At 48.0% G+C, this 13,578-nt stretch overlaps 1 protein-coding gene across 1 annotated transcript in view, besides 3 other annotated features; it reads left to right on the top strand.

The window, feature by feature from the left end:
* MICAL3 (microtubule associated monooxygenase, calponin and LIM domain containing 3) overlaps positions 1-13,578 on the top strand; it is a 236,913-nt gene that overhangs the window by 102,192 nt on the left and 121,143 nt on the right. The window lies entirely within an intron of this gene.
* Positions 11,027-11,296: an enhancer, noted in NCBI's record as "active region_18643". NCBI's record gives its function as "activates an Ori minimal core promoter by ATAC-STARR-seq in GM12878 lymphoblastoid cells {active_cell/tissue: GM12878}" and the evidence as "EXISTENCE:reporter gene assay evidence [ECO:0000049][PMID:35858748]".
* Positions 11,307-11,356: an enhancer, noted in NCBI's record as "active region_18642". NCBI's record gives its function as "activates an Ori minimal core promoter by ATAC-STARR-seq in GM12878 lymphoblastoid cells {active_cell/tissue: GM12878}" and the evidence as "EXISTENCE:reporter gene assay evidence [ECO:0000049][PMID:35858748]".
* Positions 11,553-11,847: a silencer, noted in NCBI's record as "tiled region #8921; K562 Repressive non-DNase unmatched - State 14:Gen5'". NCBI's record gives its function as "represses a minimal TATA promoter and a strong SV40 promoter by Sharpr-MPRA in K562 cells {active_cell/tissue: K562}" and the evidence as "EXISTENCE:reporter gene assay evidence [ECO:0000049][PMID:27701403]".

Here is a 13,578-nt window from a genome sequence, read left to right as displayed (position 1 = left end):
CCCTTTCTCCTTTTGTGTAGTTCTGTGACATTAGATGTTATGGCCCAGGCGAGACTTCTGTTTATCTTTTTCCTTCTTTCTTGGCATCTGCCCGCATCTGTACTACGTGCAAACATGAACGTGAATTCCTCTACCTAGCCAGACCCAAACACAAACGGGTAGGCAGACCTGGACTTAATTCCAGAGCAAGTGAGGAGTGTTGAAGGGGAGGCACGCACCCAGGTGGGAGGGAACACAGGGGAAAAGGTGATTGGCTGCTTGGGGCTGGGGTGGGCGGGGTCGCTTTAGTGAGGTCCGGAATGCTGAGCTGCAGTCTCAAGTGCAGGAGGGGCGTTGTAGGCAAAGGTGAGGAGGCGGCAGAGGTGAGGAACACGTAAAAGTGTGGTGCATGCTGGGAACCTGAGAGGATGGGTTGCATCTATTAATAGTAGTGAGAGAAGTCAGCTTTTTGGGCCTTGCTGAGGGTTTGGATTGTTTCCTAGTGTCAGCAGAGGCTGAAACGGGTCACATTGGCCCTTACAAAAGACCCCTCTGGCACTCGTGGAGGATGTATTGGAGCGAGTTTAGATTAAGGGACAGCTAGCCGGGCGCGGTGGCTCATACCTGTAATCCCAGCACTTTGGGAAGCCGAGGTGGGTGGATCACTTGAGGCCAAGAGTTCGAGACTAGCCTGGCCAACATGGTGAAATCCCGTCTCTACTAAAAATATGAAAATTATCCAGGTGTGGTCGCACATGCCTGTAATCCCAGCTACTAGGGAGGCTGAGGCAGGAGAATCACTTGAACCCTGAAGATGGAGGTTGCAGTGAGCTGAGATCGCACCACTGCACTCCAGCCTGGGCAACAGAGCAAGACTCCATCACACACACAAAAGAAAAGATTAAGAGGCAGCTGTGCTAGTCCAAGCTAGTGTCAGTCAAGGGAAATGACCAAGGCCAGTCTCAAGTCTTAGTCATTTTAAGAGATACATTTGCCAAAGTTAAGGTTGCATACCCGGGAGACAGTTCTATGCCTTTCTCCGAAGATGATTTTGAGAGCTTCAGTATTTAAGGGAGAAAGAGTGGGATATTGTGAAATACACAGTTTTCATGTTGAGGGAAGGGAAAAATAGTCATTCATGCCTTTGACTCTGAATCTGCCTTTTTACATGAGATAACATAGACAATAGAGCAGAGGAAACAATCAGATATGCCTTTGTCACAGGTGGGCAGAGAGATGACTTTGAGTTCTGTCTTATGTCCCCGTACCTGTGAAGATAAGCTGTCAACTTACATTGCCATGGTGAATTTTAACAGAAATGCTTTAGGGTAAAGATCTTGGGGCCCACAAGGAATTTCCTTGTGGGCAAAATGCGAGGGAGTCATCTTTGTAGTCATCTTATTTAGGAACCAGAATGGAAGGTGGGTTTGCATGATCCCTTTCCCAGCTTGGCTTTTCCCTTTGGCTTAGTGAGTTTGGGGCCCCAAGATTTATTTTCCTTTCACACTGGGAATCTCGGGGCTTCCACCAGGATTGTGGTAGGCAGATGAACATTCTAAAGTTAGAATCAGCAGATTGGGTTGAGGAGTGGAGAACAGAGAAGGGTCTGAGATGACCCCAGATTTCCATTTGGTGGGTGGTGGGTTTGACTCCGTGTGGGGTAGACTTCCTTGGTGGGAGGCACCTGTGGATGGCTAAATGGAAATGTTTAGTAGCTTTGGATCTCTGGAGGAAGGTCAGAATGATAAAAATCAAGGGCCATCCAATTTTTTGAGAGCGGCAGATGAAAGAATTGCAGCTGAGAGACTGGAGGCCGGTGTGGAGAGTGGGCAGAAGCAGGAGACAGAGCACAGCCAGGGGAGGGCGGGTTCCAGGAAGCGCTGCAGCCAGGGAGCTAGCCAGATAAGACCGGAACGCGTCTGAGCCTGTCTCACTTGAAAGCCACCGTCACCCTCAGTGGAGTGTTGGAGACAGAGGCCAGATTGGAGAGGGAGTGAAAAGATGACCGGAAGAGGGTCATTAGGAGGGTGGGGACGGGCTGGGGGCCCCAAGACACAGCGTCAGGCTGGAGGAACCAGTGGGGTATTGTAGAAGGCAGTATTGGGGCCCCACCTATGGGTGGAGATGACGGGGCAGGTACAGCCACATCAGTCCTCACTGCGGGGACTTGCAGAAAATATGCTTTTGTCCCACCCCCATTCCACTCCCAAGGCTGGCGTTTCACGCGTGCAGCTTTCCCTCTCACTTGCCTCCTCCGTCACCGCCCAGCAAGTATGAAATGCGCAGTAACCCTTTGAGTCCTGTGTCCTCCTGCCTCAAATGAAGAAATGTTGCCTTGTCTGACACCTGGGCTTGTGGCAGCTTCGTGGCTTTCTCATGCAGATGTTAGCCATACAGGTAACTTGGAATCAGAAGTGTTATGGGTCCTTCACTCGTCTCTGGGGTAGTGGGCTGGGGCTGTTGCATAGCATTTGCTGACACTGATACCGCAGTTCTTTAGAAACCAGTTTCTTTTTATAGGGAACAGTTACACTGAAGCTATTTGGCTATTGAAACAAAGCTGCCTCCAGGTCCTGGCTCCTGACAGGCTCTCTTCTGATGGCAAGAACAGGTCCTGAGCTGGGTGTGGGGCCTGCTGGGCAGAGCCTGTGTGAGCCAGGTCCAGGGCTGGTCGTGGTCATGGAAAAAGGGCAGGTCTCCAGGGGAGCACCTCCCCCGCTGGGCAGAAGCCATCTGGACTCTCCTTGTAGGGGTCCCATTCTCTGTGACTCCCAGCCTGGTGCCACTGCCTGAAAGCACACAGTTCATTTTCATTTGATACGACTTCTGTCTCATATCCTAACTCAGTTCTGCCTGGAGAAGTTCATATACACAGCCGTTTGTTCATCAAGTGGTCCTCACTGTGCACCACCTGTTGTGGTCCAGGGACTGTTCCAGGTGCAAGGACGCAACAGTGAATAAAATGGCAAAAATCCTCACCCTTCCAGAACTTACATTGTAGCAGAAAGATGGATTGTAAGTAAATAACATTTAGAGGCTGAGTGTGGTGGCTCACACCTGTAATCCCAGTGGGAGGCCAAGGCAAGAGGATTGCTTGAAGCCCAGGAGTTCAAGACTAGCCTGGGCAACATAGGCCCTATCTCTACAAGTAAAAAACAATTAGCTATGCTTGGTGGTGTGCACCTGTGGTCCCAGCTACTCAGGAGCCTGAGGCAGGAGAATCGCCTGAGCTGAGGAAGCTGCACTGAGCTATGATTATGCCACTGCACTCCAGGCTGGGTGACAGAGTGAGCCTGTCTCAAAAAAAAAAAAAACCCACAAAAACCAAAAACATTTGGAGTATGTCAAGTTGTGGTAAGTGCTTTGGAGAAAACCAGGGAAAGAGGATGAGCAGGTTTAAACGATGTGACCAGGGAAGTCCACACTGAGAAGCTGGCATTTGAATATATGTGTCAGCTGCATTAGAAGGCTCGTGCCCTGGAAGTCAGAGCTTGTTTTCTCTGTTCACTGCTGTTATTTCTGGAGCGTAGAAGAGTCCTCGGCCCATAATAGATGCTCACTAGTATCTTTTGAGTGAACGGATCGGAGGGAAGAGCATTTTTAGACAAAAGGAGCTGCAGATGCGGAGGCTGAGGTGAGAGGGTGTCTGGTAGGTGGGGAACATGGGGAGGCCATTGCGGCCAGCAGGGATGGAGAGGCTGGCGGCAGGAAAGGAGGCAACAGAGGGAAGGCGTGTGTATGGGTGCAGGTCTGGGGGGCGCTCCATGAGGTCAGAACTGTTTTTGTAATAATACTGAGTGCTATTATGTGCTTTTCCCACCCTCGTTTGCCCAGGTGTGTACAGTGGCCTTTTCTAGAGGCTACGTGATATGTGCTGCTGCTGCAGACAGAGCAGGCAGGAGAATCTGGCTGCCACACATTAAAGAGATTTGCAGAAATGTGGAAAACTGTCACTCTTCTCACTGAATTTCTGTCTTGGAAAGTAATTTTTTTTTCTTAAGATATGTTAATTGTTATTTTAAAGTGAATTAATGTTGAAATTTTGTCTCAGTCTTAATTTTACATATAGTAAATATTGATAGCTCTTTGGGTCCTCAATGTTTTTTTTTTAAGAGACAGTCTCGTTCTGTCCGCCAGGCCAGAGTGCAGTGGCATGATCGTAGCTCACTGCAGCCTCGAACTCTGGTCCTCCTTAGCTTTGAAGTGTATAAAGGAGTCCTGAGACCAAAATGTTTACGACACGTTTATAGGGCCTTGTAGGCCATTATTTTATATTTGCTTTTATGCTGGCTGAGATGGGAAGTCATGGCTGAATCAGCTGAGGAAATTTAGTGAAGACAGTTTACCAATTCCTGATTGTCCTTGAGGACAAAGCAGGTGTATCCGGGTGGGCGGCATGCTGTGGATGGGCACCTCAGCAGGAGAAGGCTCTGGAGTCACTGTGTGCTCATGCTCTACTCCCTTCTCATAGCTGGGCTTACCTCTGCCAGGGGAGATAGAGGGAAGGGACATGCTTTGTACACAGTGTCCACAGGATGTGGGTCGAGAGTGACGGGGCAGGGGCGGGGCCTTCTTCCCTGGGTGTGGTCAGCAGAGCTCTCTCTGATAAGGTGAGCCAAGACCTGAAGAGCGAGGGGCACTCTGCATGGCTGGCCAGGGCAGCCCCGCCCAGGGAGGCCTTGGTGAGCAGGAGAGAGGCCATGTGGCTGGGCCTAAGGGTGTTGGGGAGGGTGGCAGGATCTGACCTGGGGCTGGGATGTGGCAGTCAACGTGTCTGATGGGTGTTTTAAATGGATGCTCTGGCTGCTTTGTGGAATATTCTGGAGGGTGGGTTTGGAGGAGCAGAAGTAGGGGAGGCTCATGCAATGAGCAAGTGAGAGCTGGTGGTGTCTCAATGAGGATGATAGAGAAGACATGGTGAGAAGTGGTTGGATTTGGCTGTATTTGAAGGTAGAACACAGAATTTTCTGAAGAACGGACCGTGGGATGTGACAGAAATGCAGACGGGGGCAAGGTTTTGGGTTGAGTGTCCGGGTAGCTGGCGGTGTTGTTTACCAAGATGCAGAACACTAGGGAAGGAACAGGCTCTGGCGAGCGGCATCAGAGTGTTGCCTCCAGTGCTTTAAGCTAGAGATGCCTGTCAAACATCCAGGTAGAAAAGTCACACAAGTGATTGGTCGCACAAGTTCAGGAGAGAGGAAATAAATATTAAGGCACCATTGGTTATTGATACTGTGTAGATAAATCTACGGGAGGGAGGATCCTCCAGGGCACAGCTTTCACAGTGGCTTGTGTCTCCGTGGGTCATGAAGTCAATACAGTGGGCACCAGCAATTTTCAAAAAACGAAATAGAATTGAAAACAATATCTCGGTAGTAAGGGCTGTTGTAAAATGTTTCCTTTTATGCCAACTGATAGGGGAATTTTGCCCTATGAAACATTTTTTAAAAATTAAATTTATGTGAAAAGAGAGCTGTGTCCTAGATCACAGTATGAAACTTCTTTTTTTAAACTGCAGATCACAGTTTAAAAGCCACTGATGTAGAAGGAGATGTAGTTTCAAAAGAGATCAGAGACTGAGTTGATTCCGGGGCCATTTCAACGTGCAGAGGCTTGGGATGGGTCTGGGACCAGCAAAGGACGCAGAGAGGGGCTATGAGGTCACAGCAGGACCCAGAGAGTAGTGTCCCCTTGTCCTGGAGGCCGGTGGGGTTGTGGGGGGGCAGACGGTAGTGAGCTGTGACTTGTGCTGCAGACAGGTTGAGGAAAACAAGGTTTGAGAATTGATCATTGGATTGGACAGCATGGAAGTCATTCATGACCTTGATGAGGCATTTCTGTGGAGGGCTGAGGACAAGGTCTACTTGTTGGAGGTTCAAAGATAGTGGGAGAAGAGAAAGTTGTGAACAAAGCATTGACAATTCTTTCAGCGAGTTTTGCTGTCAAGGGGAGCAGAGTAAGTTAGTTGGAGCGGGTGGGGTCAGGACTGGGTGTTGAAAGACGTGTCCTTGCTGAAGACAGTTCAGTGGGGTGAGGGAGGATCACTGCAGGGAAGGGACCAGTGTGGGAGGCAGCATGCTTGAGTAAGAACGGGGACAGGATCAGAAGCACAGGCAGAGGCTGGCTTCAGCGAGACATGCGGCAGATGTCGCTCGCTATCATTGGAGGGAAGGCAGATGATATGGGCATAGACATTGATTACCGATAGAAACTTGCGGAAGAATGCCGAGAAGGTGGAGAAACTGAGAACCATGGCAGAAGAGAAATTGTGTTTTCGTTTTTTGGTTTTTGTTTTTTGTTGCTTTTTGGGTTTTTTTTTTTTTTTTTTTTTTTTTGAGACTGGATCTCGCTCCATCCCCAGGCTGGAATGCAGTGGTGCAACCATGGTTCACTGCAGCCTCGACCTCCTGGGTAGCTGGGACGACAGGTGTGCATCTATGCCTGGCTAATTTTTTAATTTTTTGTAGAGATGAGGGTCTTGCTATATTGCCCAGTCTGGTTTTGAACTCCTTCTGAAGCAATCCTCCTGCTTCAGCCTCCCAAGGGGCTGGGTTTACAGTCATCAGTCGCCACACCCAGCCTATTTTGGTCTTCTACACAGAAATCGAATCCTTGAGAAATGAACATTGATTGCAAGCTGCTCAGCTTGGTGCCGTTGACATGTCATCGATAGGCAGGTGTGGGGTGGCTGGTGGGCCTAGATGACCTTTCAGATGGTGCTGAGCCTTGACTGCAGTGTATTTTGTGGTTCTGTGGCAGTGACGACAGGCAGGCGAGACACCTGAGAAACCCCATATTCTGTTCCAGGTTAGTCTCCTGCCAGCTGTGTTTTGGGCCAGCGTCGGAAAGCCTTAGCTGCAGGCTCTGCCCCTGCAAGAGGGAGGAAGCGACCTGACCCGAGTGCCTTGGTAGGACCTTGCATGTTTCCCACAAGTTCTCCGGTCATCTCGTGAGGTATTTCTCTCCCTTCGGACTGCTGGAGGCTTGGCATTCTCTGAGTCCCTGTGTGCAGTGGCCTGGAGGTTGCCCTGTACGGCCTACCAACCAGCCAGCTTCCTGGGTCTGCCCAAGTGTAGGTGACCGGGTAGCCCTTTAATCAGCAGAACCTTATTGAGCACCTGCTGTGTGCCTGGAACTGAGTACATGGTGCTAAGCAGAGTGTTGGGTTGGTGCAAAAGTCAGTGCGGTTTTTGCTATTAAAAGTAACGGCAAAAGTAACTGCACTGACTTCTGCACCGACGTTATAGATTGGATTCCGGCCCTTGAGGAGAACAGCTTTTTTTTGGGATTCTCCTTTGGTTGTGTTTTCCCACATCCTCAATGAGGCTTTCTCCCCACCCAGAGGCCTTTCATCACCCCTGAGGGCAGGGCTCTTAGATTAGTGGGTCAGGAAGGTGTGGGTCTTTTGGTCTGTACTGTTGACAGTGGGCAGGTTGAGGTCCACCTTCTGTCCTTCCCCAAGCTCCTACAATGGATGGAGTAGTATTAGGTGATTGGAAAATGTTTTGTCATTGACTCCTCATAGGCGTTGCTGATGGCTGGGGTGCAAGAGCCTGCCGCAGAATGCCAACTGATACATACTGTGTTAGCACTGTTTTAGTTGCTTAGCCTTTTGGCAGCCAGTAAGAAGAATTACTGTGAAACCAGACTGCTCTCACTGCCATTTGGAAAGGGCTCCATTTCAAAGGAGCAGATGCAGTGATAAATCATGAGGAGAAAAAGAATCCTGTATTGTGTGTCCTTGCTAAATTTACTTGAAACTGCATATCCATTGCTAGCTGGGCAGCTATCTTCCTGGCAGGCAAGTTCCTGCTCTCGGGTGGTTAGGGACTGGAGGCATGCATTCTCATGAGCTTTCATTTCTCAAGCTGTATTCTCAGGTGGTTTTTCATGATGGCTAAGGACTTAGGCTCTCAATTGGACAAGTCTGGACCCAAAACATGCCTTTCCCCATCTGCAAAATGGAGGTCATACATCCTGCCTCGCGGGATGGTGGTGAAGATGCCATAGGCGTGGATGTGGCACCGAGTAGTAACGACTCAGTATCTTCTATCTGTCTTGTTTAACACTACAGTTTAGCAGGACTTACACAGATCTTACTCCTTTAGCACCCCCCTCCACCCAATGCCATTCTCACGCTTTCTAGAACAGATGGAGTGGAGAGGGGAAGAGTGATAATGGAGCAGAGAAAGTTCCAAACCATTTTTCTTTCCTTCAAAAAACAAAACCATCTGAACCCTGTTGTTCCGTTTTTATTTAGACTGAGTATGCGCTTTCATTGCTGGAGTTTATTGATAAACTGCTGGATGATAACAGCGCTACTGTGGGTTGGTCCTTGCTCTGTTCCTGGCACTGATAAACATTTTACATTCGTTACCTTACTTCCTACAAAACCCTGTGATTTTCATTTTACAGATGAGGAGACTGTAGGATGGTGAGCCTCAGGCATTCTTCTTGATTGCTTGTTTTGGGGGTTACTTTGAACGTGAGTTGACGTCATCATCAGTGATTGTGTTTATTGGGTGCCTCGCTATGATTCAGACATTTTAATGTGTTTGGGGTGACAGAACTGCAAGGCAGAGGTCAGGTCACTTCTGACTTACTTCATTTCTCAGCTGCGTGGATGTTCTTAACTTGGTTTTCATGAAGAAATAGGTTGTTAGCAAAGAATAGAAATGAAAATTAGAAAAGATACAACATAAGTGTTAGGACTGTACTACAGTCCTGCAGGATTAGGGACTTGGAAGAGAACCCAGAGGCTATCTGGGTCTGGCTCTTCTCAGATGCCTCTAGAGAGGGGTCATCCACACCCAGCCAAGCAGAGTGCTGGTCATGAGAAAAATGCCACACTCTTGCAGTGTTCCTGTTAGACTGTCACTGCCCGCCCAGGCTGACTGTTGCATTCCTGGATACCACGTTTTGGTAGCACATTGGAAGTCTTTCTCTAACATGTGTCCAGGTCTCCTTCACCTTCCGCAGCCACGCAGGCCAGGCTAGTGCTTTCCCCAGGACCGGTCCTTCAAGTACAGAGCTGCTGGGCTCCATCCTACCCTCGTCACCTCCACAGAAACACGACTTATTTCTACTCCAGGTCGGGTTATAGCGCAGAGACCCAGTCCCTGCCCTAAGGAAGTTCACAATGGAGGAGAGAGACATTTAAATAATGTCCTTGCAGAGTGGCAGGAGCAGATGAGGAGTGCAGCCGGGTGACAGGCAGGAGAGGGGAAGGGCACAGTGGTGGGGGGAGGAGCTGGCTTCATGTTTCCTCTCCATCCTGCTGAGTGTCAGCTTGATGATAAATAGGATGGAGAGTCAGGATAGATCCCAGGATGCAATACATGTGGATTCAATACCTTCTCATGATAGAAATACTCACCAGACTAGGAATAGAAGAAAATTACCTTCACCTAGTAAAAGCCATATGCGAAAAACCATGGTACGTGTTATGTTCAACAGTGAGAGACAGAAAGCTTTTCCTCGTATGATCAGGAACAAGACAAAGATGCCCACTTTTGCCTCTTCTATCCAACATAATCCTGAAGTTCTATCCAGAGCAGTTAGGCCAGAAAAAGAAATTAAAAGGCATCCAAATTGGAAAGGAAGACAGTTATCTCCATTTGTAGATGATATGATCTTATGTGTAGAAAATCCTACAGATTCCACCAGAAAAACCTGTTCAAGGCTAGTACATAAATCCAACAAAGTAGCAGGATACAAAGTTAATACACAAAAATCAGTTACATTTTTATATACTAATAGTGAACAGTCTGAAAAGGAAATGATGAAAATAATTGTCTACAGTAGCATCAAAAATAATAAAACACTTAGGAATTAGCCAAGGAGGTGAAAGCCTTGTACAGTGAAAACTAAAAAACATCACTGGAATAAATTAAAAGATAAATGAGAACAAATTCACGCTTATGGGTTGGAAGACTTACTATTGTTAAGATGTCACAATTACCCAAACAATACACATTCAGTGTAATCCCTATCAAAATCCCAATGATTTTTTTTTTTTTTTTACAGAAATAGAAAAACCCATCCTAAAATTTACATGGAATCTCAAGGGACCCTGAATAGCCAAAACAGCCCTTCTAAAGGAGACCAAAGCTGGAGGACTCATGCCTCCTGATTTCAAAACTTACTATAAAGCTATACTAATCAAAACAGTGTGGTACTGACATAAAGGCAGACATATAAACCAATGGAATACAATAGAGGGCCCAGAAACATACCCTAACATATATGGTCAAACTATGTTTTGTTAAGAGATGGGGTCTTGCTATGTTGCCCAGGCTGGAGTCTAGCTCCTGGGAGGATCAAATAATCCTCCTGCTTCAGCCTCATGCACCTCACTTACGGTCAAATTATTTTTGACAAGGATACCAGGACTACTCAGTACGGAAAGGACAGGCTTTTCAAATAATGATGCTAAGTTGCCTATGTTGAAGGAAGACAGATCAGGAGCCCGAGGCATGTTGGCGATTTGGGTCCTGGTTTCTGAGGGAAAATATGATCAAGTGTTCCTCTCCACCTACTTTTTTCTTTTTTTGGTTTTTGAGACAGGATCTTGCTCTGTTTCCCAGGCTGGAGTGCAGTGGCATGATCATGGCTCACTGCAGCTTCGACCTCCTGGGCTCAAGCAATCCTCCCACCTCAGCCTCGCATGTAGATGGGACCACAGGCGAATGCCACCACACCCAGCTAATTTTTTTGTTTTTGAAGAGACAGGATCTCACCGTCTTGCCCAGGCTGGTCTTGAACTCCTGGGCTCAAGTGATCTTCCTACCTTGGCCTCCTAAAGTGCTGGGATTACAGGCATGAGCCACCTCACCTGGCCTTCCACCCGCTTTCAAGATCTGTTTAGATGAGACATACCTCTGACTGAATGGGCTAGGGGAAGGCGCAGTTCACAGATTGCTGTGTAAGATTCAGAAATTTGCACGTTCGCTGGTGTGTTCATGGTGCATTGGCTAGGGAGAAAACTAAGCTTCACTCTGATGCCATACTCTTGAAGTGTCATTCTTTTTTGTTGTTTTGTTTCTTTTTTTTTTTCTATTTTTAAACATGATTCTCCTTTCTACTCCCCCACAAACATCCAGCTACCTCTTCTAAGAGCTAGAGATTGAGTGTTCTCATAGCCAGCCAGAAGTCAGTGACAACCTTCAACTATTGTTATAAATAGAAACATAACCATGTCCTGCGTGTGCTTCAGAGGCCGTCTCTGCAGTGCCATCCTCCACAGCCAAGGCCCATGCGGGGCTTCTGAGTCAGCAGTCAGCTGCTGCGGACAAAACATGCAGGCTGGAGTCAGCTGGCAGAGACTCACAGATGCCTGGAAACCTGGCATCACCTCCTCTTCCTCCCCCAGCCCCCAACCCGGCTCCTCACTTCCTCTACCCCTTCCTTGCACACCTTGGCTTTTCAGTTTCTGGGATTTCTGGCACCTTCCTGCCAGGTTTCCTGGTCTCCAGGTTCCTGTGATTATGAACTGTACACAGGGTGGTGCAGGACAGGCCAGGAGGAGCATGATCTGGCTTTGACCTTAAGGAATGAGGGAAATGGGGGCGGTAACAGAAATAGCCCTGCTCTGCTGTGCTTCCCGGCTGTTGTCAGAGCCAAGGAGAATGCCGGGTAAGCCCCTTGCAGAGTGAGACAGGCCCAGCCCAGCAGAGCCACAGAGCAATGCTGTCACACTCTGGAGGAGTCTTTGCGCTGCAGTCATCATTCAGCTGCAAAGCAGGAAAAGTGAGGCAGCCCAAGGGAATTCATCTTGTGTCGTCTTACCTTGGGTGCCGGTCGCATTGTTCCAGGAGCCATCCTGCCTCTGTTCATCCATTGTCACCAGTGCCCTGCAGGTCGAAATCTCTTCGGCCGGGGAATTAAAACTTGCCTGCTGGTTGGCTCTGCAGCTCTCTGGGAGCTGTGGCTGACATCTGTTAATTTAAAAGTGTTTTCACTAGCAGAAGGATTGGGGACAGTTATTAGTGAAGCCGTTCCTCTGTAGTGGGGTTTGATTTGGAAATTCTTTGTGGCGGTTAGCAGCTCTTTGGAAGTGAATTATTTCAAACCGAGTGGGTGACAACCAGCCATGGGGTTGTTAGCTCACACGTAAGAACTCTTCTTGGGAAATAAGTGCCCAAGACCCTCTTTCAGGGTAGGTGTAAGCCAAGGCAGGCGCTATGACGGGAAGGATTTTGGAGTTATGGGTTGCAGGACCTTTAATGTATTGGCTTCAGCAAGAATGTCATGGTTCTGAGTGCTCTGAATCCTGGCAAGGAGTTGAAAGTGGCTACTGTTTAGAAACAAAGAAAAGTCATTTTCTTCTTTGACATGAGGTAGCGGTGGATCAGACCCAGTGTATGCAAAGCTTACCAAACACTGTGACTCTGGTGGAGTTCAGGTTGACTGTGAATGCAGGCAGGGCACACAGGGTCAGGATTGTGCCATGCTGTGTGCTTGTCAAAGAGCAAGTGAAGCCTCAGAAGTCCCACAAAGAGGTCAGGAGGCAAAGAGGGTCCCTGATGTAGAAAATGGTGTGGGACCTTTGTTTCTAGTCATGGGTTGTCAGCTGTCACCATTTCTCCTGCCTTCACATAAGCACATCTGCTCTTTCCTGCCCTACAAGCCATCTTTTGACTTTCTAACATTTCTAAGATAAGCCTTGGCTTGTAAGATAAATAATGGGCCCTTTTTAGGAACTGTAAAGTATTTCTCTTGCTGCTACCTAGAATAAAACCTTTCTTTTTTGGGGAAACTGAATGTTAATTCCAGTTAACTCCATTTCTTGCTGGCCTCTTGGCCATGTGGCTATTGAGAGAAGCTATGTGTGTTAACAGTGTATTGTTTTTGTTTTGTTTTGTTTTGAGACAGGGTCTCACTCTGTCGCTGAGGCTGGAGTGCAGTGGCACAATCTCAGTTCACTGCAAGCTCCGCCTCCCGAATTCAAGCAATTGTCATGCCTCAGCCTCCTGAATAGCTGGGATTACAGGCGTGTGCCACCACACCTGGCTAATTTTTGTATTTTTTGGTAGAGATAGGGTTTCATCATGTTGGCCAGGCTGGTCTTGAACTCCTGACCTCAAGTGATTCACCCACCTCGGCCTCCCAAAGTGCTGGGATTACAGGCATGAGCCACCACACTGGGCCAGCAGTATAGTTTTTAATATCTAGAGCCAGGAGGGTTTGTTGAGTACGTGATATATTTGAGGCGAAAAGCCCAGCCAGTGTGTTCCATCTGCAATGTATCCTCCACATTATGTGACGAGTGTTGTGTCTGTTGACATAGAAAATATAAGGTGGAGAGGGCAGTTCCTTGTATTTAGTTACAACTTTCTCTCATGAAACTTAAGATGCATCTCATTTGGTTTGGTTTAATCCTGTGATACCATGGTGAGGTGCGGAGAGAAGTGGCATGTCATTTCTACTTCACACTGCTGCTCAGTGTGCTTACCCAAAGTAAGAGCTTCAGGGCCTCTTCTGTATCATTCTGGAACATGGTGCCTGTCTTCCAAGAGTTGGTTTCAGCAGCACCTGCAGCTGAATAGTGGGCAGTCTCTTGCTTCTACATGCCTGCTGAACGTAGTGCATCAACCACTC

This window comes from Homo sapiens, chromosome 22, assembly GCF_000001405.40.
Source record: "Homo sapiens chromosome 22, GRCh38.p14 Primary Assembly".
In the NCBI taxonomy this organism is placed as follows: domain Eukaryota; kingdom Metazoa; phylum Chordata; class Mammalia; order Primates; family Hominidae; genus Homo; species Homo sapiens.
Note: the sequence above shows the minus strand (reverse complement) of the source record. Positions and strands in the feature narration are given on the sequence as shown.